Raw genomic sequence first — 26,364 nt, 5'->3', positions numbered from 1 at the left:
GACCCAAAATAAAACTTGTTTAATCTTAAATGGGCCCTGTTAAGAATTCTTTCATTATTTTGTCATGCTTTAAGGCCCAGGAAAGTCCTAGGCAAAACTCTTGATGGGCTTTTGTTACATCCTAGCCTTTGTATAAGGGCACGGGCTTTTAATATTTAACTTAACCACTCAGTCACTACTGAAACAGTTGTTATGGAGGCCTGCAATAGTGAGACATGGCCTGCCGCAGGAGAGACCCAGCGGGAGGTAATTTAATCATGTGGGTGGTGACCCTCATGATATTCCTGTGATAGTGAGTCGTTTCTCATGAGATTTGATGATTTTATAAGGAGTCTTTCCCCCTTTGCTTGGCACTTCTCCTTGCTGCCACCATGTGAAGAAGGACATGTTTACTTCCCCTTCCACCATTATTGTAAGTTTCCTGAGGCCTCCCCAGTTATGCGGAACTTTGCATTAATTAAACCCCTTTCCTTTATTAGTCACCCAGTCTCAGGTATGTCTTTATTAGCAGTGTAAGAATGGACAAATACAGTACATCGGTGCTGGGTAGTGGGGTGCTGCTCTGAAGATACCCCAAAATGTAGAAGTAACTTTGGAACTGGATGACAGGCAGAGGTTGAAACAGTTTGGAGGGCTCAGAAGAAGATAGGAAAATGTGGGAATACTTGGAATGTCCCAGAGACATGGAGGCTCAGAAGACAGGAAGATGTGGGAAAGTTTGGAACTTCCTAGAGATTGTTGAATGGCTTTGACCAAAATGCTGCTAGTGATATGGATGATGAAGTCCAGGCTGATGTGATATTAGATGTTGATGAGGAACTTGGGAACTTGAGTAAAGGTCACTCTTGCTATGCAAAGAGACTGGTGGCATTTTGCCCCTGCCTTAGATATCTGTGGAACTTTGAACTAGAGAGAAATGATTTAGGGTATTTGGTGGAAGAAATTTCTAAGTGGCAAAGCATTCAATAGGAGGCATAGCATAAAAGTTTGGAACATTTGTAGCCTGATGATGTGATAGAAAAGAAAAACCCATTTTCTGGAACAAAATTCAAGCCAGCTGCAGAAATTTGCGTAAGTAACACGGAGCTGAATGTTAAACACTAAGACAATGGGGAAAATGTCCCCAGGGCATGTCAGAGACCTTTGCAGCAGCACCTCCTATCACAGGCCTGGAGGCCTAGGAGGGAAAAATGGTTTTGTGGGCGAGGCCCAGGGTCCCCTCTGATTTGTGCAGCCTCGGGACATGGTGTCCTGCATCCCAGCTGCTTTAGCTCCAGCCATGGCTACAAGGGGTCAAGGTACAGGTAGGGCCATTGCTTCAGACAGCTTTCACATTATACTGGGCCTGTGGGTCCACAGAAGTAAATAATTGATGTTGAGGAACCTCTGCCTAGATTTCAGAGAATGTGTGGAAATGCCTGCATGTCTAGGCAGAAGTGTTCTACATGGGTGGAATGCTCACGGAGAACCTCTGCCAGGGCAATGAAAAAGAGAAATGTGAGGTTGGAGCCCCCGCACAGAGTCCACACTGGGGCACTACCCAGTGGAGCTGTGAGAAGAGGGCCATTATCCTCCAGATGCCAGAATGGTAGCTCCACTGACAGCTTGCACCGTGTACCTGTGTACCTAGAAAGGCCACATACACTCAATGCCAGCCCATGAAACTAGCTGGGAGGAGGGCTATACTCTGCAAAGCCACAGGGATGGAGCTGCCCAAGGCTGTTGGAGCCTAACTCTTGCATCAGTGTGCCCTGGATGTGAGACACAGAGTCAAAGGAAATCATTTTGGAAATTTAATGTTTAATGACTGCACTATTATATTTTGGACTTGCATGGGGACTGTAGCCCCTTTGTTTTGGCCAATTGCTTGCATTTCGAATGGGTGTATTTACCCAATGACTGTACCCCCCATTGTATCTAGGAAGTAACTAATTTGCTTTTGATTTTATAGTCTCATAGGTGGAAAGAACTTGCCTTGTCTCAGATGAGACTTTGGCATAGGACTTTCGAGTTAATGGTGGAAGAAGTTAAGACTTTGGGGGGCTGTTGAAAGATGACTGTGTTTTGAAATGTGAGAATATGAGATTTGGGAGAGGCCAAAGGTGGAATGATATAATTTGGCTGTGTCCTCACCCAAATCTCATCTTGAATTGTAGTTCCCATAATCCCCACATGTCATGGGAGGGACCCAGTGGGAAGTAATTCAATCATGGGGGCAGTTACCCTCATGCTGTTTTTGTGCTAGTGAGTGAGTTCTCAGGAAATCTGATTATTTTCTAAGGGGCTTTTCCCCCTTTGCTCAGCACTTCTCTTTGCTGCCACCTTGTGAAGAAAGACATGCTTGCTTCATCTTCTGCCATGACAGTTTCCTGAGGCCTCCTCAGCCCTGCAGAACTGTGATTCAATTAAACTTCTTTCGTTTATAAATTACTCAGTCTCAGGCAGCTCTTTATAGAAGCATGAGAACAGACTAATACACTGAGACAAAGTAACAACAGAGAAAAATTTCCAATTATTCGATCTGATCCTTTCTCATCTTACCTTTCTAAGTTTCTAAGGAGAAGCTATTTTTGTGTCTAGGTGTTGCAAGATACAGTGGCCATGATTCTTTATGCCTCAGGGGAAGGTTTGTGTTATTTCTTTGGAAAGCCATTATTTCTCTTTTTCCAGTTACCTTCCTTCTATTTCTTACAGGTCCACCTGTATTTCTTAAAGATATTTTTTCTTATCTCTCAAATTTTGACAGGATATATACATTATATATGTGTGTGTGTATATATATATATATATATATATATATATACACTTGCTCTCTCATTGTACTCTTCGCAGCATTTATATTTTAATATACATTTTAGTTTTATAATGTTATAATATTCATTTAATATTATAGCACTATTATAATATAATATTATATTGTGTATTATATTGTATTATATTAATTATAATATATTTTTACTATATCATTATATTACAATTATAAAATATATTAATATATTTTAATATAATTGTTATAATATTAAATTAATATCATAACAAAACTAAAATATAATTATATTGTAATTAAATGTACATCACATTATAATTATAATATAATTATCATATTAATCATATAACATTATAATTAATATTATAATATTTGTTTAATACCTATCTCCCATGAAGAAATGTAAGCTTGATGACAGCTGGGATTCTGTCTAGTTTGTTCAGAATTGCAGGTTTAGCACCCAGCAGATTAAAGGCATAGAATGTAGTAAAATCAATGCTTATATGAATGTGCATACAACGGAATGGATGGATGACTGGATGACTGAACACAATGCCTCTTTTACACAATTTCCAAAACTTCATTCACAGTGGTCATCTCTGCTGGGGAGGAGTCTCAGTTTCTGTTGTGCTGTGGTCCCACTTCATGTTCAGGAGTCAGGCAGGATTCTGATTTGTTTGAGAACTTTTTATAAATTATATTTACTAAAGATGATAATGCAATCAGAAATGATTTTGTAGTTAGTATCTTTTAATGTCTTAATATTTCACAAGGCATATTTGATTTTAGGGATAAAAACAACCTGCCCTCCCATGTCATCTTTGATTTTAGGGAGGTCAAACTCTTGCCAGTTAACTGATTCCAGGCCAAATTTGATTCTTATCAGTCCATAGAGTCTTGAGTTAATTCCTTTTTGGAAATTCTATACAGAGGCGAATTAATTCTCTACATAGTCTCTTTGTCACTCAGTAACTTGTTCCATTCTCTCCTTCAAATTATATCTTTAGACTTAGCTAGTTTGGTAGTCCAATTCCAGTTTTTAAGCTTTATTATAAATGTTATTAGCAAAGACAGTTTTGCAAGCATTATTAAAATTTATTTTATGGTTCAACTATATTTTATTGAAATTTGTTTAAGATTACTCAAGATGTCTTAGAATTATCCAACCTTTACTGGAAGAGCAATTTGTTAGATTACTATGATTTATTATAATTTTACATAAAATATATATTTAATATAGCTTGTTATAATTTACCATTATAACTGTTCCAAAGTGTAACCATTACACTTTGATCCATATTTTCATAGGGCAAGACTGTTTGATGTTCTTCTGCTCCTTAGCTTTTGATTGCCAAGTTCCTGTCTCTTTCCTGGGCTCCACGTTGTTTATTGCATAGTCTGATACTGATATCAGATATAGAGACTGAAAATACCAACTTCTTACCAGAAATATTTATTTATATTATCTGAAGTAAAATTTTCAGAACATTTAGATAAGACCACACATTCAAGTATCATTTCAATCTTGATACAAGGGTAGATTCCTGATACAGACCAGTTCCAACTTATGCTTACTAGAGATATCTCTGGAAAAAAACATTATAAAATACTTATACAAAACTCAAAAAATACCCCACAAATCTTACATTATTAAACTATTGACTGACAGCAGGGTGGGAAGGGGATTACTTTCCCAGAATCAGTCTGAATATTATTAAAAGTTTAAAAATTTCTTTTGAAATATCTTGAAAATTTTATCAGAGATACTACTTTTTTTTTTCTAAGAAGGAGATTGTGAATTGCATTTCACATAAAAGTGTACTCTAATATTTGGGATATCATTTTTCTTCATATTTTGTTCTATAGATACTCCAAACACTGCATTTCCAAAATTTAATTTGTTTTCTCTCACCCATCAATTCAAATCTGTACCTCCTCCTGCATTCCCATTGAAAGTTGCAGCCCATCATTCGGGACATCCAAAGTAGAAATCTGGGAGTCATTCAGACGTTTATTTTCTGTCATCTTCCACATGCAAATAATCTCCACACCAGTGAATTTATCTCCTAATTTTATTTAATGCATTCATTTTTACTCCATTCCTACTACGATTACTCTAGCCCAGACTCTCCATTGCTATCTCCCAGATGATCCCAGTAGCCTCTTACATGATCAATAGCAACATTGTCGTATTTGTCCTCTAAAATGCAGTCAGGGCAATCTTGAGCACGTGAAATCTTGAAATCTCACCTGTTATGCCCCTCCTTATAGTCACTCTAGGATTCCCATCCCTCACATAAAAATTCCAAGTTTCTTATAAAAAATCAGACGATTCATGAAAATTCAATCTTTCTCGTTCATATCTTGCCTCTCTTGGTTATATATTTTATGATCTCTAATAATGTATTCAGTTTCTATTGTCGTCTACCAATGAACATCAAGTTATTTGCCTAAAACAACAAACACTATTTCTGCGTGTCAGGAGTTTGGGCAGGGGTGAACTGTGTCCTCTGCTCAGAGTAACACAAGGCTAGCATCAAGGTGTTGACTAGATTCCTCTCTGAATCTCAGGGTCCTCTTTCAAGCTTACATTGTAGACAGTACTTAATTTCTTGCAGTTGCGGTTTCCATTTTGTTGTTGGCTGTTGGCCAGGGTCTGCTCTTAGCTCCTCCAGGGCCACTCGTAGTTCCCTGCCATGTGACTATCCCAATAGGCCCTCTCAAACATCAGTCATTCTTCCTTTAGGCAGGGCCCAGATTTTTCCCAAGGGATTCCCTGGTTAGGTTGGGTTCACTCAGATATTATCATTATATTTAACTCAAAGTCAAGTGATTAATAACCTATTTATAGAAATAATATCCTATCATGATCACAGTTCTTTCTGGAATCAAGATTTTATTTTAAAATTAAAAAAATAGAGGTTGTATTAGTCCATTGTCATGCTGCTGATAAAGACATACCCATCACTGGGTAATTTATAAATAAAAAGAGATTTAATGGACTCACAGTTCCACGTGGCTGGGTAGTCCTCACAATCATAGTGGAAGCCTAAAGGCATGTCTTACATGGCAGCAGACAAGACAGAATGAGAGGAAAGCAAAAGGGGTTTTCCCTTATACAATCATCAGATTTTGTGAGACTTAACCCACTACTGTGAGAACACTATGGGGGAATCAACCTCCATGACTTAATTATCTCCCACCGGGTTCCTCCCACAACATGTTGGAATTATGGGAGGTACAATTCAAGATGAGATTTGAGTGGGGACCCAGCCAAACCACATTAGAGGCCATCTTAGAATTTTGCCTATCACAGATATCAGCCAGTTTGGGTTTGCTGTGAATAGTGATGCTTTTGCTTACATTATTTCTTCTGACAAGAAATTCCTAACATTTTGCTCCTGGTGAATTCTTACCATTTAAGATATAGCTTAGGCATAATATCCTACAAAACACATGTTTTCTTTTTATTCCCAAAATCGGCTAAGCTTTTCTCTGCTCTGCTGTTAGAGTATGCTATGTCTGTAGGTCCCCTAGCATGAGTCATATTAACTTAAGACCGTGCTTATTAGTTTATATTTTAAAGGTAGTGTATTAGTTAGCTCACATTGCCATAACAAAATGTGACAGACTAGGTGGCTTAAACAATAGACTTTTGTTTCTTTGAAGTTCTTCAGAAATCTGGAAGTCTGAGATTAGGGTACCAGCATGGTCAGTTTCTGGTGATGCTTCTGTTTCTGGCTTACAGGCTGCTGCCATCTCACTGTATGCCCTCATAACCTATGTGTGGGCAGAAAAGAAAGAGAGTGACCAAGTTATCTGGTATCTTTTTTAATAAGAGTTCTAATTTCATCATGAAGACCATAAGCTCATGATCTCATCTAACCCTAATTACTTCTATAAAGGCCTTATCTCCAAATACAGACACATTGAAGGTTACACCTTCAACATACGAATTTTGGGAGAACTCAAACATTTACCACCACCTGTCAAAAATAGAAGAAATGCATAAATTCTACAGTGCCTACTTTGTGGATGATGAAGTTTGCATGTAGCCGCCTTGTACATAATATGCCTAATGGAAGTCTTCAGAATATTATTGACTGTATTCAGAATATTATTATTATAAAAACTGGGTCTTGGCCAGGCATGGTGGCTCACGCCTGTAATTCCAGCACTTTGGGAGGCCAAGGTGGGCGGATCACGAGGTCAAGAGATTGAGACCATCCTGGCAAACATGGTGAAAACCCTGTCTCCACCAAAAATACAAAAATTAGCTGGGCGTGGTGATGTGTGTCTGTAGTCCCAGCTACTCAGGAGGCTAAGGCAGGAGAATCAGTTGAACCCTGGAGGCGGGGGTTGCAGTGAACTGAAATAGTGCCACTGCACTCCAGCCTGGTGACAGAGCAAGACTTCATCAAAAACAAAAAAACAAAAAACAAAAACAAAAACAAAAACTGGTCTTATATTTTCCTAAATTACATATTCATTCTCTATTTCTTATATGATCTACACCATGGGGTTCCTGGCTCCTGATATCTCTAATCTCTTCGGAAATTATGTTAGAGTTATTTCATCAAAAACCTACTTGATTAATATCTCCTGACTTTAAAGTCTTCAATGGTTCCTCTGAGCCTTAATGCCCTCATAAACTGACCCCAGTCTCTTTCTTACAGCCCTCCTTGCCTCTTATTCCTGCTTGTCCCTGTCAAACCACCATGGTATCTATGCTTGAGTCAAATGTATCTGCTCACTATTCTCTGAGCAAGTTCAACCACCTCCCCACCCCGACTTTTAAAGGTTTCACATATTTTCTCATCCTTGAAATATTTGTTATCTCTTCCCACATACTGAACAAATACATTTCAAGTGTTTGGTGACACTTTCCCTGACTACTCTTCCAGAGTTAGATATGTCTTTATTGATGCCCCTTTAATATTGTGTAGATGTATAACTTTTGCCACATTAAATTATAATGATTTGTTTTCTTCCTTGTATCTTTCTCTAGATTGCAAGTTCCCTGAGAAAACTGCAGATTATTTTTCTTTATAACTGCTGTGCTCAACACACCGCCTAGTTGTTTTTGAGAACAGGAAAAACACAGCTGGGAATAGATTGAAATACAAGTCACATGTTTTCCACCAAGGCAACGATAAAGCCTGGTTAAAAAAAAAATCAATGCCATTGACTTCCCCAGTTAAAATTGTCATATGGTATTACATTCTTGTTACATGGGCAAAATATGATTATTTGAGAAATTCATAATTTCAAAAGGCAATTTGAATTATTCAGAAAAAAGTTAATGAAAGAATTCATATGTAACGCACTCTCACATTTTAAAGTTCACACTTAGATATGATTTATAGAACTTACTCATGATACACCTCAGTCTTGTTTTGTTTTCATTTTGTCTAAAACAATTTTCCTAGGCAAATCTGCCTCCACAGCAAGCTAGAGACATATATCACAATTTGTTGAGATAGTCCTGCTTCCTACATGCTTTTCTAGTATAAATTATTAACAATATCCCCTTTCAATATCAAAAGTATTCTGGTTTGGACAATAATTATGCAGTTTCTCTAATTAGAGAGAACATTAGTGGTTTAAATAAAGTGTCACACAGACCTTTGAAGGACAACACTTTAGAAAGGCTGAATAACCACCATCGATTACTTTGTATCTGTTGAAGATGTTTACTGGCTTTGAAAAGAATCTGAATAGTAGAGTGAGGGAAATTTACAGTTTAGATGCCACTTACATAGTGGAAATGATGAACAATTTGACACCTGTGTCACTGCCTTTTTCAAATTTAATCCTTTATAGCCTGAAGTGAGTCTTTTTTCTCGCTAATGAAAGCTTTTTAGTGTTCTAATAATAAACCTAAATAAGCTTGTATGTCACCCGCACACATATATTAGGAGGTGAAAAGAGTTTAGCCCAGTATTCTGTTAGAGGGATACAGTCCACCACTGACTATGAAACTAACTATCCTCAGTTTGATAATTAGACAAAATAATTCAAAGAACTCACTGACAGCTACTATACCCATATATATGCTTAATTAAAGGAAAAGGTTATAAATTAAAATTAGACAAAGGAGGATGAAGTACATAGGGTGAAATCTGAGAAAGTACCTGTTACTTTCCCAGCTTCAATGTATGACAGTATGCAAGAGGTATGGCCAAGCTCCCACAGGTTTGAGGTTCAGAGATTGATTGATTGATTAATTGATTGGTTGATTTCTTCTTAGGGACAGGTCTTGCCATGTTGCCCAGGCTGGACCCAATCTCCTGTGCTCAAGAGATCATCCCACCTTAGCATCTGAAGTAGTTGAGACTACAGGTGCATGCCATCGTACCCTGCGAGGCTCAAAGTTTTCACTGGGGCCTCATTATATAGGCATAATTGATAAATGTCTACATGGTTGATTTAATCTCTAGGTTTACTAGTACCCCATGATTCAATGTCTGTACCTTAAATCACACCATTGGTCTTTCTGATATGGTCAGTCCCCATGGTAAATCAGTGTTAATATCTGTCTAGTCCAAACCACCAAGGGAAATAAATACCTCCCAGGAGCGATGAGAAAAGGCTAGACCTCTTCCTGGCCCAAGTTAAATTCTTTTTTGTTTGTTTGTTTTAATAGCTTTTGTTTTTATCATTTTTTATTTTTTTATTTGTTATTATACTTTAAGTTTTAGGGTACCTGTGCGCAATGTGCAAGTTTGTTACATATGTATACATGTGTCATATTCGTTTGCTGCACCCATTAACTTGTCATTTACATTAGGTATACTTCATAATGCTATCCCTCCCCTCTCCCCCCACCCCACAACAGGAGCTGGTGTGTGATGTTCCCCTTCCTGTGTCCAAGTGTTCTCGTTGTTCAATTCCCACCTATGAATGAGAACATGCAATGTTTGGTTTTTTGTCCCTGTGATAGTTTGCTGAGAATGATGGTTTCCAGCTGCATCCATGTCCCTGCAAAGGACATGAACTCATCATTTTTTATGGCTGCATAGTATTCCATGGTGTATATGTGCCACATTTTCTTAATCCAGTCTATCATTGTTGGACATTTGGGTTGGTCCGAAGTCTTTGCTATTGTGAATAGTGCCACAATAAGCATACGTGTCATGTGTCTTTATAGCAGCATGATTTATAATTCTTTGGGTATATACCTAGTAATGGGATGGCTGGGTCAAATGGTATTTCTAGTTCTAGATCCTTGAGGAATCGCCACACTGACTTCCACAATGGTTGAACTAGTTTACAGTCCCACCAACAGTGTAAAAGTGTTCCTATTTCTCCACATCCTCTCCAGCACCTGTTGTTCCCTGACTTTTTAATGATCGCGATTCTAACTGGTGTGAGATGTTATCTCATTGTGGTTTTGATTTGCATTTTGCTGATGGCCAGTGTTGATGAGCATTTTTTCATGTGTCTGTTGGCTGCATAAATGTCTTCTTTTGAGAATTGTCTGTTCATATCCTTTGCCCACTTGTTGATGGGATTGTTTGCTTTTTTTCTTGTAAATTTGTTTGAGTTCATTGTAGATTCTGGATATTAGCCCTTTGTCAGATGAGTAGATTGCAAAAATTTTCTCCCATTCAGTAGGTTGCCTGTTCACTCTGATGGTAGTTTCTTTTGCTGTGCAGAAGTTCTTTAGTTTAATTAGATCCTATTTGTCAATTTTGTCTTTTGTTGCCATTGCTTTTGGTGTTTTAGACATGAAGTCCTTGCCCATGCCTGTGTCCTGAATGGTATTGCCTAAGTTTTCTTCTAGGGTTTTTATGGTTTTAGGTCTAACAGTTAAGTCTTTAATCCATCCTGAATTAATTTTTGTATAAGGTGTAAGGAAGGGATCCAGTTTCAGCTTTCTCCATATGGCTAGCCAGTTTTCCCAGAACCATTTATTAAATAGGGAATCGTTTCCCCATTTCTTGTTTTTGTCAGGTTTGTCAAAGATCAGATGGTTGTAGATGTGTGGTATTATTTCTGAGGGCTCTGTTCTATTCCATTGGTCTACATCTCTGTTTTGGTACCAGATAGGAAGAATCAATATCGTGAAAATGGCTATACTGCCCAAGGTAATTTATAGATTCAATGCCATCCCCATCAAGCTACCAATGACTTTCTTCACAGAATTGGAAAAAACTACTTTAAAGTTCATATGGAACCATAAAGGATCCCGCATCGCCAAGACAATCCTAAGCCAAAAGAACAAAGCTGGAGGCATCATGCTACCTGACTTCAAACTATACTACAAGGCTACAGGCCCAAGTTAAATTCTTTACTACACAAAAAGCTCTTGTATTTGGATATTATTAAAAGATACCACACTGACTACAGATTCGGCAGTATACCAAAGCCATAAATTCAGCACCCAAACTGTGAAAATTTTAAACTAATAATAATCAAAATTTTCTATCACATGTAGACAGTTAAGTAAATGAAATTAGTAGTGAAGCAATACTATAATCGAAGTTCCTCTGGAAATTGTTTTTAAAATTCAATTTCTTTACAAGCAAAACCTTTGTAGGCACAAACATCAGTCAAATTAAAATCTAGGTTTGGCAGTTCACTCAAGGCGGTCAATTTCAAAATGTCTTTTTAAAAAAGATGCATAGGCCTGTTTTCCTTTTATTATTGCAACTAACTGATCTGAAAAAACTTATAGTTACATTATCACTTCTAACCTGACTGATATAAAATAGAAGTTTGGTCATGAAAGTAAATTATAATCCTTGGGGTTTAAAAAGGAGGAAGAAAAAGAAATGGGGGAACATCAGTATGCCAAGTGGTAATCATCATCCCCCAAATCATTTCCATGTGTCTGTGAAAGCATTTGTCACTCTGTCCCTCTGTAGAGTACCTGTTAACCTAGTTGTCTCCTCAGTCGCCCTTCTCCTTCCAACTTCTTGAGTGAATCTTGCCTAATGAAATTACTGAAGTCAACCACATATTTATTAAATGAACAGTTAAATGAATGAGAGATTACTTTTCATTCAAATGGGAGACCTGGATTACTTGGTGTGGTAGACAGGGTAATTGTTCCCCACAGATGTCTATGTCTTAATCTTCTAAATTTGGGAATATGTTACCTTACATGGCAAGAGGGACTTTGAAGATGTAATTAGATTAAGAACCTTATGATTGGGAGATTTTTTTCTGGATTATTTGGTTAGGCTCATTCTCATCAAAATATGAAAAAGAGAGGCAGGAGGTCTGAACCAGAGAACAAGATGTGACCATAGAAACAGAGATAAGAGAGGGAAAGTTAGTGCAGTTGATGATGCTATCCTCCTGACATTGGAGAAATGTCTTATTTTAAGCCACAAGTTTCTAGTAATTTGTTATAGCTTCAATAGGAAATTAATACGTTTGGGATGTACTGCTGTTCATCTACCTTTCTAATACCTTCTCACAGAGCCTGAATGGAAAAACTGTTGTTTACAGTCATTTCTGTTAAACACTGATCTTCTTATCGGGTCATAGGAAAAAAATGACACTATTCAATTTTCTATTATTTAATTATAGCCAGACTACAAAAGAGGATAGTTATTTACCATCCATTCATTTAAATAATAGCTATACACTTCATCTCAAGTTCCAGGCATTCTGCTCAAATTTAGAGTTAACCCAAACAATCATAATGTGTACTCCTCATAGAGCACATATGATTTTCAATTAAAATTTAAAATGGTTCAGAATATTAGTAGAATACATTTTTGTTTGTGAAAATCAAAGTTTAAATGGAGACCATTCTTACTGGCCAACATTTTGAGTGACTGACACCTATTGAACAGATACTGAACAAGTAAACATGTAGGCGAATATATAGCTTTATATCTTGATGGGACATAGGCATATGCATAGACAGATGCTAGCTACCTAGCTATCTCGCTAGGTATAAATTATATGACTAGGGATTTGGCTTAGAAATGCAATCCTATACTCCTTTAAAGAAAGGACATTCTATCTGAAACCTGAAACTTGAAGAATGAGTCAAGTCAGTTCTATAAAGATTGAAAGGCATGGCATGTTATGCAGGAGGAGCAGCAAATAAATAGTTCCCTGTTCTGGGAAAAACTTGGTACATAGGAATTGCAGAAAGAATAACCATGTGTCTTAATGTTCCCATATATGAATTATTTCCAGGAAATTTCTTGAGAAACTTAAATGTTTTTCTTAATTTTAGTTCTAGGAACAATCAGGAAATTAAAAAATTAAGAAAAATTTTCATAACTTAATAGAAAATACTGACATGCAAGTGGAAGAATTAAGATCTATATTTCGGGGAAACAGGTTTATAGCAGTAAAAAAGAAATGCCACAATCAAATATCATGCTTAGTTTTAGCTGTTGTCACTTATAATGTTTGTTTTTGGTTTTTGGCCACATCTACTGCTAATGGTGGAATATTCTTGTAAATATAATCTATATAAAGAAGTTAATTTACATACTTTATACAAATCTTATGAGTGGTGTTCCATGACATGTCAAGTTTGGAAGTAAAATAAATCCTTAATCTGGCAATTTTGTAAGTGATTCTGTGCATTCTTATTTACATTACTAGGAGATCCAAAGGTTGTATTATTTGAATGCTACCCTGTAATGTTCCCTGATGTTTTCCAGTGTTGGAATATTTAGCATAGTTTATAGTTCTTTAGAAATGCTACAAAACTTAATACTATCTGTTTATTAAGTATATATTGTTTCTATAATAATGGCTGGAAAGTATAAAATATTAGATACTCATATATGATTTAAGGGATTCCTGAGTTTTCCTGAGAATTCTGATTTCTTATTCATAAAATCTGAAGAATTTAGAAAGACTAGGATAGAGGTAGCTGAATTAGGTAACGCAGAAATAAGCAGATATCCAAATATATGGAGCCTCAAATATATTAATTTTATTAAAAGTTGTTATTATCTAAAATGAAATGGGAAAAATTGTCAAATTTTAAATAGAGGTATACAGGATCAATATATTTTTTAAATGATCACTGGTTTCTGTACAAAAATGGATGAAAGGGTGCAACAGTTTAAATAGGAAAAAAAAAAAAAAACACTTAGAAGACCTTTTAAGAGACGGTGGCAGTGGAAACAGTGAGAAATGGCCAGATCTGCAGTGTATTTAGAGGTAGAACAAAAAATATTTAGTGAGGTATCACGACTGTACAAAGGGTGGCAATTAATCTCAGCAAAGAAAATATTGTGCACTTAGGAACAGAGGAGACAATGAGCTGTGGTAAATTAATTTTAAAATTCTTAACCAAATAGTTCACTGTAGTATTTAATTTCTGTAGTACAAAGAACATATATTTATTTACATTCATTTAGTATGCATTTATGAAACACCTTTTAAGTGACGAGCCCTCTGCTAGTTGCTAAAAATTCCAGCATAGATGATACCATTCTTTCCTGAAACAAGATGTATCAACCCCTGCACCATGACATTTTGGGCTGTATAATTCTTTGTAGTGGGGCTGTCCGTGCATCGTAGTTTGTTTAGAAGAGTCCCTGGTTTCTATTATGTAATGCCACTAGCACCCCATTTTCAGCTTTGATAATTAAACATTAAACATTGCTAAACTGCCCTAAATCAAACCACTAAGAGAAAGCATTAGAATAAACAAATCAATAAAATACTATAACTTGATAATAGTAACTTAGGAAGCCTGCCATGAAAGTATAGCTTAGTCAAATTGGTAGCAAGCATCACAGAGAACTCAAACATCTGGTGAGGGAAGGGGACATGGTGACAGAGAAATGAGACTGGATCAGTAAGCCAAGACAGAGTGTTTAAGTGGCTTGTTAAGTTCAGAAATTTGGACTTTGTTGTGACAGCAGTAAGGTGTCATTGAGGGATTCCAAGAAAGAAAGTATACGATCAGATTTGTGTTCTAGAAAGCAAAACTAAGAGTGAAAGCATCAGCTGATAAAACAGAGAAGGCAAGGTGATTATTTAGAGGATGTTAAAGGGAGAGACTTGACCCCATTAAACTAAAGGTAGTGTATGTGGAGATGGTGTAATATGGGCAAATATAAGACAGTCATGTCTGGTGGAATACACAAGATTTGGTGACGTAGGCATGATGGAGGAGTGACAATAAGTTGAGGTTTCTGGGAAGGATTACTAATGATTGGTGGTGTGTCATCCACTTCCTTTTTAAAGAGAGAGAAATGATATGCTCCAAAATATACATACATACACATGTATAAGTACAAGCATTGAACAAGGATAATCAAGAAACTTTGATAGCCAAAATTTTGTTTGAATTATTTTTATAATCGTGTTTCAGTTGTAGCTTTAAAAACAGAGTTTAATTTTAACTAAGTCCTCAAGATTATTCTCTATACTAGTGATAGTCAAATTTTAATTAAACCAAATTGTATCATTTAATGTGAAGTGATGCTGCTGACATACTTCTAGCATCTTCTCACTTTCAAAAACCATACTTTTACTTAGTCACTAATCAAAGTGGCATTAGTGAGGAATTCTTGGCTTACAATGTCATTATTCCCACATTCTGCATCATGCTGAGGAATACTAAAAGATGGTAACCTTTTGGCTCTTCATTTTGTGAATTTTGTATTATTAATTATAGACAATTTTGATTCTCAGATTACTATAGTTTTTCCTACCCTGACAAGCCAAGGAACTTATTATAAAAAGGCCAGAAATATGTAAAACATGAAATAGATTTAAAACACAACATGTTCTCTGGTGAGAGCCTGCATATATCATTTTTGTTAAAATGCTTAATAAATGAAGATTTTGTTTTCCTTTTTTTTTTTTAAGCCAGCTTGCTGATGGATGACAAAGATAAGGCATCTTTCCTAAATAGCAAACACCCATGTGTCTGGTAGAAGCTCTGTATGTTACAGAAAATAGTATACAGACACAATTCTAACTTTCATAGCTATGAATTCCATGTGTGCATGCATGTGTGAGAGAGACATGCACATACACACACAGAGAGAGAGAGAGAGAGAGAATATCTGTTGCAGTATAATCACTCTGAAAGAAAAATTATGGTAGTATTTTCTCTTATGAATTTAATGAATGGGTAGGTTTTGTTGTGAGGTATAGCGGGATGTCATGGAAAGATTTCAGAATAAGATAGAATAAAATAATAATATGTTAAGTGGGACAGAGTACACATTAGGTTATAACGTCTTGAGATGTTTCATATAAATATGTTTTAGCATTGAAAAATACATTCTGCATCCTTTTAATTCTTTATTATAAGTAGGAAAATATGATATGTTTACTTCAATTAAGAGCTTCAATCTCTCTATTTTTAATCATTGAATTTTAAATATTCTCATGATAGATAATACCTAGATTCCTATTTTCTTAGCAGGATAGAAATTTTATGAGAAAACCTTACTTTGTGTGATACTGTCTTTCTCATTGCAGAATATTTAGCACCTATGAACCAAACATTAAACTCTTCTAGTATTTACCCTTCGCATTTGAAACTCAAAAGTAGTCTCACATATTTCTAAGCTTCCCCCAGTGGAACAGGATCACCCAAACAGATTAAGGTTTACTGATTCCTGTGAATTGTGTTTAACTATATTTTTGGTCTAAAACAAATTTTCAGTAGTCAAAATGATAGATGAACCATATTTTAAATTCCCTGATCATCTAAACTTTTATGGTTTCCACAGAACATATATATTTTTTCTACACAAATTTTTTTTCCTTTTTTAAATTACTAGTCTGATACATTGTCCTGAATTTTGGAGCAAAATGCAATTATTTTTATTATTGGGTATATTATGTTGGTTGGATACAGAAAAAAATAAAGATTTACGTCTGGCATTTAAAAATAAAGAATTTTTTCTGTATAAAATTTAAAATGTTTGAAATTGTTTACCTCTAACTTATTCAAAGCATATTCAAATAACTCTTCCTAGAGAACTTTCAACCATATTAACATAATAAAGATAATTTAGTTGCATTTTTTACAAAAAATTACTTATACTGATTTGTTCATCTTAGAAATGGTGAAAATTGGATAAGCACAGAAGTATACATTTTAAAGCATATTATTGTTAATTTATATCTGTATCATAAGAAATTACTGACCCATTTAAAAACTCTTCAACCAAACTGCATGAATCTATGATAGCCTACATAGAAATTAATAGAAACCTTAGTTCTGTGATTGTTTCTTGTATAGATGCTAAACAGGGTGAAAAGCCTGGAATGACCATTGTATTTTCAGCAGGTCAAAAAGCGTATTTTTCTTATAAATTCAAATTTTCTCTGCCCTGTAGTGGGATATGTTAGTAGTGTTCAATATATGAATATTTGCAAATGGCAAATTTATGTCATACGGGTACCTCTCTTCCAGATTTTGCTTTGTCAGAATTTCATTCCTATGAATTTATAAATATTCATAAATTGTTAATACTATCCATTAGTGGAACTAACTATTGAAAAAATTACAAGTATTTTTATATTGTAAGCAAAATGAGAGTCCAAATAAGTTTTGCATATGTTAGCAATCTTTCTAGTATAAATTACTCTTCCTGCTGTATCCAATTGCAAGGATTGAGAATCTGAAATTTGATGAGTAATGGCAATGCAAAACACACACACACACATACACAATGTGTAAGATCTCTAAAATGAGAAAAGGTTTTTATTCTCTTAAGTGACATTCTTTGTCTACTTCGTAGATGTAGGAAAAACTAAAATACCAAAAAAGGTGAACTTGAGGGCTGGGCGCAGTGGCTCAAACCTGTAATCCCAGCACTTTGGGAGGCTGATGTGGGTGGATCACCCAAGGTCGGGAGTTTGAGACCAGCCTGACAACATGGAAAAACCCCAAAATTAGCCTGGCATGATGGCACATGCCTGTAATCCCAGCTACTTGGGAGGCTGAGGCAGGAGAACCGCTTCAACATGGGAGACGGAGGTTGCTGTGAGCCAAGTTTGCACCATTGCATTCTAGCCTAGGCAACGAGAGCAAAACACAGTCTAAAAAAAAAAAAAAAAAACAAGGTGAACTTGATTGATTCTGGCTGCAGAAGCCCATTTAAACTATAGTGGGGAACATAATGAATGCTGGCAGGTGGCCATCAGGATCCTGCCTGCTATGTCATTTGGGTTATACAGACCCAAATTCTGCCATATTTTCTAAACTATTAAGAAAAGGTAGGCATTTAGATTTAGATTAGGCATAGCCATGTTTAAAAAATAAACTCAATTTCACAGTGGTTTGAAAAACTAGCTCATTTTTCTTTCTCTCAGTAAAGCTAGAGAATCCAGGGATGCACATGGTTATTAGTGACCTAGTTCCTTTTGTCTTTTGAGTTTAGCATTTTAGTATTTGGTGTCCATTTTTAAGGTCTTCTTATTTTCTATTGTGTAACTGGAGCTCTGGCTGGAATAATATTATTCCAAGCATCAAAATGAAGAATGTTGAGAGAAGAAAATGAGCATTGCCAGTAGTTTGTACTTTTTAGGAACTTTTCTGGGAATCTAAGTCATCAGCATTTACCTCCTCTGGTGACTGTTAGCTGAGAAATATGCTGTTTTTCTGGACCTGTTACCTCCAGAACATAGCTGTGGATCTACATTTAAGGAGATTTGTAGAGCGATGAATGAAATTCATGTTATTTCATCTGTTTGTCTGCTTTAGCCTTGTGTTTCAATGATCCTATAAGCTCTAATGCTTAATGAACACAATCCTTTTGACCAAGGGCGTGGTTTTGTTTGTACCTCCTTGCCATTTTATCTGGAAGCCTCCTGGTTTTCTAGTCAAATGCTAATGTTAATTCTGGCCTCTGACTTTTCCTTGTATTCTCCTTTTATTCCTAAAAGACTATTTGACTGCACCCTAACACTACTCTATATCACAGCAGAACAAGTGCTGTACTAAAAAAGCATTTTCTCGTCCACACACAAGGAGATACTAATTCTGGCTTTCATAATTATCATACTAAATTTTAAAATGATAATTTCAAATTAGGCATATCTAATGGTAAGCACTTTCTTCCTCTATTATCCCTTTATGAAGGCTGGAATATATACATTTTTCTTTATTTGCTTTCCAAAACATGAAATCCTTACTTTTCATATTTTAGAATGTCCATAAAATGTTGTATGAAGAAATGGTGTCACATGCTTCTGTAGGTTATGTGAAGAATGCAAAGTGTTAATTCAAAACTGGCTGTAGAAGCCTATTTAGAACTGTGCTGTTATAAATTCTAATAACAATGATCCTACTACATTCTAAGAAAAAGACATTAGCTTCTATATGCCTACAATCTCCAATAGCCTTTGATCTTTCCTAAATGACTAATAGAAAGCACATTGTCAACCCAGGCAGAAACAGATTTATATCCTTAATTTTAACTTTTTTAGAACTCTATCATATGGGTTTGGATTCATTCACCTCAAGATACTTCAAAAAATTAACATTTTAAATTAATACCTCCTGTTTCTCCTTCTTCACTTCCCTACTGACTCACTCTCCACTCTTAACCTTGCCTACTATCTCTGTAAACTATTGGAAAATAATAAATTTAAAGTTGGTGAAATTTAGTGGCTCATGAAAATAAAAATAGAGAAATCCAATTTTGGTGTGTTCTTTAAAAATTGAGGAATTTGAATCAGCCCCAAACTAAGCTCTAGACTAAGGCAGCTGTCATTTTCTGGTGTCAGTTGTCCCTCACATGCCAGATATACCCGAGCTTAGTAGAACTGCTTATGCTGTTTAATTTATGATCCCATGCACTGGCCGATCAACATACCATCTCATCAAAGTATTATGCTTCCATAAGCTCAGCTACTACGTTTTATGAACTCAATGTATAAGTTCCTCATAATTTCTTTAATGTGCCTCAACAAATTATAAGAGTAAACAAAAATAAAGATAATCTGGTATTTATTGAAGAACAAGTTGCGTTGTGTTATAAAATAGGTGCCTGTTTTCATCTACTGTGGGCAGTGAATTTTACACTGGATTAAATCAAGGTTGATCCTAAGTAGCTGTGTTAAATAAGGTTAATGTGAACTCTGAAGAAGTGTGTCTGCTATACCTGAATAAATACAAATTGCCTACTCTGGGTATGTGAAGGCAAAAACTAAACATGCACCTACAATTTAATAGTACACCTGTGCAGTGCAAGTCAAAATAGTAGACTCTTTGGAAGATGTAAAAGTGCTTAATATATTTCCAGGGTCATTTAGATCATGAAAATATGGAGCCATAGTGAGACATTGTTAACAGAGCAATGATTTGTGCATAAATTAGAATTCTTTATACAACCATTCAGATATATCAGGATAATTTTAGACATATAAGCACAGACAGAAACAAACTGAATTTAAGAAGTTGTGAGGCTTTTATTTATTTCGTGTAAAGGATCTGACCACAGACCTGAATTATTTGGAGGTGACTGGCTTTCTCTTCAGATTTGTTAGTTACTAGTAGAACATTTTGACACTAATCAAATAGCACTTATTGGTTGAATTCACACAGAGAGAGCACTCCACTCAATTTGCAGAGTTCAAAGCAAATGGCCCAAACATTTATAAAGTCTTCAGGCCAAAAAGGACTAAGGCAATAATATCTCAGATAAAAATCTTTTATTTTATTTTACTTTCTAAATTTTAGGTCCATGGGGAGTCATTTCTTTCCTCTCTGAATGTACTCTTTCTGAACAGCTACTTCTGTTTTATCTGTTGAACAAAAGCTTCTCTTCCCTATTAGAATTTTATCAAAGGCTCTATAAAGGAAAAGTGAAGTGAGTAATACTTTGCATATGCTTCCTAGGTTTAAGTCTGTAGTTTGTTCTACTCCATTTTCTATATTAAAATATTGCTGTTTCAACTTATGCTCCTACTTATGATTGCATTTATATTTTATATAGACAGTCTTCAATGCATAACCTTATTCTTTACTTTGTGATCTAGCTCCTTGGCCACCTACTGTAAAAGATAAAGGGAACATTTTTACATGTTTATGTTAGTTCTTTCATTGATAATTGAAAAGTTCTAAGTAACAGAAAAGAAATAAAGCAAGCTCTATTCCAAGCATCTGGTCATCTTATGGGTCACGAACACAAGACTTCAATGATCCTTATGTTTACTGGAGAAAAAAATAAGAATAAAAATTTATAGCATTAGTGAGTACAATGAGAAATTCACTATATTTTCTGCCAATTTCTGTAAATTGTGAATTTTTGGGAAAATTGGTATTTCTGCATTTATTTTTAAGCAAGTATTTACTGAATGCATATAGACCATGAGGTGAGTTAGGCAGAAAAGATACAAAATCCTGGAGAAACAGATTAGTCCATTAAAGTCTCAATCCTCCTCGGATATAAAATTCCAATTTTGCATAATGTTTGTGAATATTAAGAATTATAGTGTCAGCTGGGCGCGGTGGCTCATGCCTGTAATCCCAGCACTTTGGGAGGCCAAGGTGGGCGGATCATGAGGTCAGGAGATTGAGACCATCCTGGCCAACATGGTGAAACTCCGTCTCTACTAAAATACAAAAAAATTGGCAGGGCGTGGTGGCACGCACCTGAAGTCCCAGCTACTGGGGAGGCTGAGGCAGAGGAATCCCTTGAACCTGGGAGGCAGAGGTTGTAGTGAACCGAAATTGCACCACTACACTCCAGCCTGGCAACAGAGCAAGACTCCGTCTAAAGAAAAAGATAATAATAATAATTATAGTGTCTATAAGCCTTTGATAAATAACATGCACTCAAATGATAGCTATTATTAGGGTAACTGCTACTGACTTTGACTTTGTGTGTGTGTGAGGGGTGTTACTGTGTTTTCCTGCCTTCCATAAGCTATTTTCTTATTACTGGTTGACTGTAAAAATGATTTAATGAATCATATTTATTGAGAGGCTTCTGAGTACTAGTTACTAAGAGAACAACCATAAAAATATAGGACACTTTTTATCCTTAAGGTATTCACTATTTCTTGTGGAAGATATCCAAATGAACAGAAAATAATAAAACTGTGACAAATGCTGTGATATAAGAATATGCAAAATATTTTGGTTAACTAAGAAGATGTAAGTATACTATTCTGGGGCATTTCAGAGATCGCTGTTAGGGAGGATAAAGTCTAAACTGGGTACTCAAGAATGAGGGGCAGTTTGTTGGCAAAAGAAGGGTGAAAAATATAAATGCATATTCTAAGGAAAGGTAGCACTTTGTATTAAAAAATGATCTAGATTAAGTGAGATTAGCTAGATTTCTCAGATTCATTGCAACCACAATTAGGTAGATATTGGCAAGAAATGCACATCCTTTGGCAAGGAATAAGCACAGGAACACTCAAGACCTAAGAGTTTTTTTAAAAACGAAAAAGTGTTTGAGATTCAGAGAAAATAGTACAGAAATACCAAAGATAAAAAGGATACATTATTATTTAAAGAGAAAAAAGTGTAAGAATGTCTTGCATACAACTAACTATATATTAACAAAGCACTTGCCTTCAGTTTAGCAGCCTATTGCCATAGCTTTGAGTGTTCCCATTATTTTCCTATATTAGTTATATTTCACATATAAATAAATCTTCACTTTTTTGATTATATATTTTGGCAATATCCTCTTACCTCTTAGGTAATAAGGCTTTTGCAGTTTTTTGGTATATTTTAAGTGTCTTTAAAATTTGTTTTATGTTTAATCATTTTACTACAGTTGATGGTTATTCTCAGAATATCTGTACTTGCCTTTGCAAACATATTAAAATGACAGACCTGCTAGAAATGCTACATTTTCTTAACCCTTTTATTGTTCTCATGTCTGATGCTCTAAAATGTCACTATTTTCCATTTTATCTAATCTTTCACTTATGCAGGTTGTGACTATTATAATTTATTTAAATATAGACATTTTAAAATTAAACTATTTAAGCTATCTTTATTTTGATCATTTACAGAGAGGATGCATCTTTCTATATTTGGAATCAATTTTAGGACTGAAAGATAATTGGCAATGATTTCCAATGAATGTTCTAAAGAAAGAACATATTTTGTTTAATAGATTGTCTTTCCACTGTTTACTATTTTAAGAAGACAATTAATAAGGAGTTCCACCTATTTTAACAAGTGTTCTTTTTTTTTTTTTTTTTCTGAAGGTAAATGGCTATTTGGTTGTTGATTTCGGTAATTTAATTCTTTCCATGACAGGTTTTTCAAGTTAGGCTAGCTAGTTTTAGCAATAATCTTCTAAATAATTTGACATGCACATTTTGCATAATTTTGTCATGTTTTCCTAATTCTAATATTAACATTTTCTATTTTAATTCATATAACAATATGATGAAATAGATATATATGACTAATATTACTAATAATATTGTATTTCCAAGCAAAAATTGATTAAAAGAATATAAAGAAGGAAGAGAGGAAGCAGAAAGAAATGCTCAGAGAATCTGATTCCAATGTTCTTCCTGATTCCAGGTCTTGGTTTTATTTCGATTCTGAGCTCTAAACTATTGCTTCAATTTCATGGGCAAATTGGAATTTAATTTTTTTTAATTTTAAGTAATCTGGATTTAGATCTTTCAAATCGCCTTTCCAGAGAAAATCTGTGTCTCTTTTCTGGAACGATTATGAACATGCACAACTGGTTATGAATGGTATAGAGACAGTAGACTTATTGAGGTCATTTTCAGACCAATGAGTCTCAATGTTTACAACTTTTACAGTAGATCTGATATTAAAGGTGTGCATACATGAACAAGGACCCTGACTAAACTACTTGGCAGGTTAATGGATTTAATAAAATGTTCTGAAATTTATACCATGACTTTAAAATTTATTAATCATTTGTGACAGTTTTTTTGACAATGTACGTAATGCATATTCAATACAATTATATTAAAGCCAATTATATAGTTCTCACAGTGCTCACTACTTCTGCTTTAAGCGAGTGTTCATCATTCTGTAGTAATAATCTCCTCTGAATGTCTATTCCCTAAGGTCGTTGATGGCATATAGGTTAAAATAATGCTAAATTGTTTAAATATTTGAACTTTATACTCTGACTAGCAATAATTTAATACTGTGTCTACCACTATCATTATTTAGCTAGATTATTTATTATGTTAAACTTTTCAACTACCTCCTAGCTAAGAGATTCAAACATGACTGATTATCAGTGAACACTTGATATTATGCACATTCTTTCCTTTGTGGTCTGATTCTTGTCAGATTTTTCAAGATGAATGGAAGAAGAAACCATGATTATCAGAAAAAGTGTTCTCTAAGAAAGTCATGATGATGACATTAATATTTAGTAATGATTCAGAGCTATACTGAGTAGAAAATTGTGAACTGAAAATAGTAATAGACAATCAAATCTTTGCTACTTATGTTTGCACTGAAAAGTTTTGAGAGGGTACTGTTGTTGATGGCCAATTCAGCAATCATAGTTGAAGTACAGCTCTGTAGCGTCAAACTGCCTAGGCAATAATCAAGTTTAGTACTTTCTAACTATTTGACCTTAGAGAATTTACTCAGCCTCTCTCTATCACTTTACTGAGCTCGAAATTGAAAGTATTGAAGTAACAGACTCAAAGGGGAATGAAATTAATGTATGTTAAACAATTGGCACAGTTCCTAGCATATAAAGGTCTCAAAAAATTTAGTTACTATCTAATGATATTTCAACAAACAGCCTTATTTTTTATATTAGTAATAGAAGAAGATTTTTTTCTACTGAAATTGAAGGACAATATATTTTATCTTGGTGAATAAACATAGTTCGTTTTATCACATATATGTTGTATAGCTCTCCACTGATATTTACTTTTTGTATATTTTTTCATGAGCACTAGGTCTACTCATGATATTGTGTATAATGCTGCTGTCTGCTTTGTCCTTATATTATGAGTACATTATGACAGTAAAATGCTTCAGAAGACAATTTTTTGGCACCATGGACTTAGGAACAAGTCTATAGGAATAAGCTTATGACTATAGATATTTATAAGAAGAAATCTACTTGCTGTTTGATATCTGAGTATGATACAGCCCATTTCATTTTTGAGTAAAAATAATTTTATTATGATTCTTCTGTCCTTATTAGTGTAATTGAAGTACATACAGAGTCGGTTTATTGATTGGTAGAAGACGTACTCTCCCTGGTCTATGTTACCAATTTTCTTTAATCTAACACCTCTAACAAATTAGAGATTAAATATAATAATACTAGTAATGGTTTTTATTATTGTAATGATAATAATAAAAGTAAAAATGATTGTTGAGCATGTACTATATACAAGGCATTCAAATATGCACTTAATTTATATGTCATCCTTCCTTTATAATACCTGTGCAGAATGCTTATTATTTTCCAATTTTACAGTTAAGTAAGCTGAGTTTTGGAAAGGATAACTGACTTTCCCAAGTAGCTCACCATAGTACATAGCAGAATCAAGATTCAAAATCAGGCTAATTTGGTTTTGTTTTCACTTTACTGTGCAAAGTTTCTGCATTTATTCATCTGTAGTCTTAACTTCTCTCTCAAACTCTAGCCTTAAACAGCCACCTTCTTCCAAGTATATCTGCCACAGAATTTTAAATATTTACCTCTTCAAACCTAACTCATTTTATTTTTCTGTCAACTTTTTAATTCACTCTTCCTCCGTTCCCAAAATCTAACCCTGGGTGGTTCTTCCTCATTATACATGCAGCAGTTTCCCTCAGTTTAATAAATCAATAATTGATACATCGCCTGTTCATCTTAACTTCAACCTGTACTTTGATTGATGGTAGATATTTTTCCTAGATACATTTAATGGCTATGCCGCAGTTCTGTTTAAAGAGCCACCATAGTTCTTCGAATCCTACTGAATGAAGTCTACCTCCTTAAACTTGTATTCAAAGCTTTTCATCACTTGATCTTAACACCGTTTTCTGTCTTTGGCCCATAAGAAAATTCTGTATTTATTCTAGGCCACAGCTAAATACAAACATTTATCATTTGAGATATACTTCATATGTTTAAACATCTATATTTATTCATTTTTTTCCTAAAAATGTACATGTAGTTTATATAACTGAGATCAGAAGTATTGTTACTTACAATAATCACATTTATTTCCCTTAGCTCAGCCCTTAGATTGACATCATAAAGGGAGGTGTCTGCAAGAGAATAATCCCAAAATTATGATTCTGGAAGTTTATATAGGCTACATGCTGCCCAGTTGCCAACAGTAGCCCTCATGAGAGAGGAAGAAAAATCTTACATCCCTAATATAAACATCTTACTTGGAAATATATATATATATATATGGGCAAGTGCCTACCTGAAATGAAATATTTGACTCCAGAGAGACATGTTTCAATACTCTTCGTAAAATAGCAAAAGACTCCAGGTTAAACACCAGTAGGATGTAAAAAGCAAATGGGCCTGTGGAAAAACATTCAGAATCTTTATAACCCATCATTTTTTTTTTTTTTTTTGCACAGAAAGCCCTAACCATGAATATGTAAGCAGAATAGTGGCCCCCCAAATGTCAACATTTTAATGCTTGAAAATGTGAATATGCTAGGTTACTTAGTAAACTTGGAGATGGAATTAAGGTTGCTAATT

General features: G+C 34.9%; 1 protein-coding gene and 1 long non-coding RNA gene across 16 annotated transcripts in view; one reads left to right on the top strand and one right to left on the bottom strand.

The window, feature by feature from the left end:
- BRINP3 (BMP/retinoic acid inducible neural specific 3) overlaps positions 1 to 26,364 on the top strand; it is a 380,207-nt gene that overhangs the window by 109,255 nt on the left and 244,588 nt on the right. The window lies entirely within an intron of this gene.
- On the bottom strand, positions 6,461 to 26,169 carry LOC105371658 (uncharacterized). 2 transcript variants are annotated; one of them, XR_001738344.2, is made up of 3 exons: positions 26,078 to 26,169; positions 25,855 to 25,913; positions 6,461 to 6,547 (listed from the first exon to the last, which is right to left on the bottom strand). It is a non-coding gene; the product is annotated as an uncharacterized LOC105371658 (long non-coding RNA). The 2 variants fall into 2 exon arrangements; XR_001738345.2 differs by lacking the exon at positions 6,461 to 6,547 and adding an exon at positions 20,809 to 20,885.

This window comes from Homo sapiens, chromosome 1, assembly GCF_000001405.40.
Source record: "Homo sapiens chromosome 1, GRCh38.p14 Primary Assembly".
In the NCBI taxonomy this organism is placed as follows: domain Eukaryota; kingdom Metazoa; phylum Chordata; class Mammalia; order Primates; family Hominidae; genus Homo; species Homo sapiens.
This window is presented reverse-complemented; position numbering and strand designations above follow the sequence as displayed.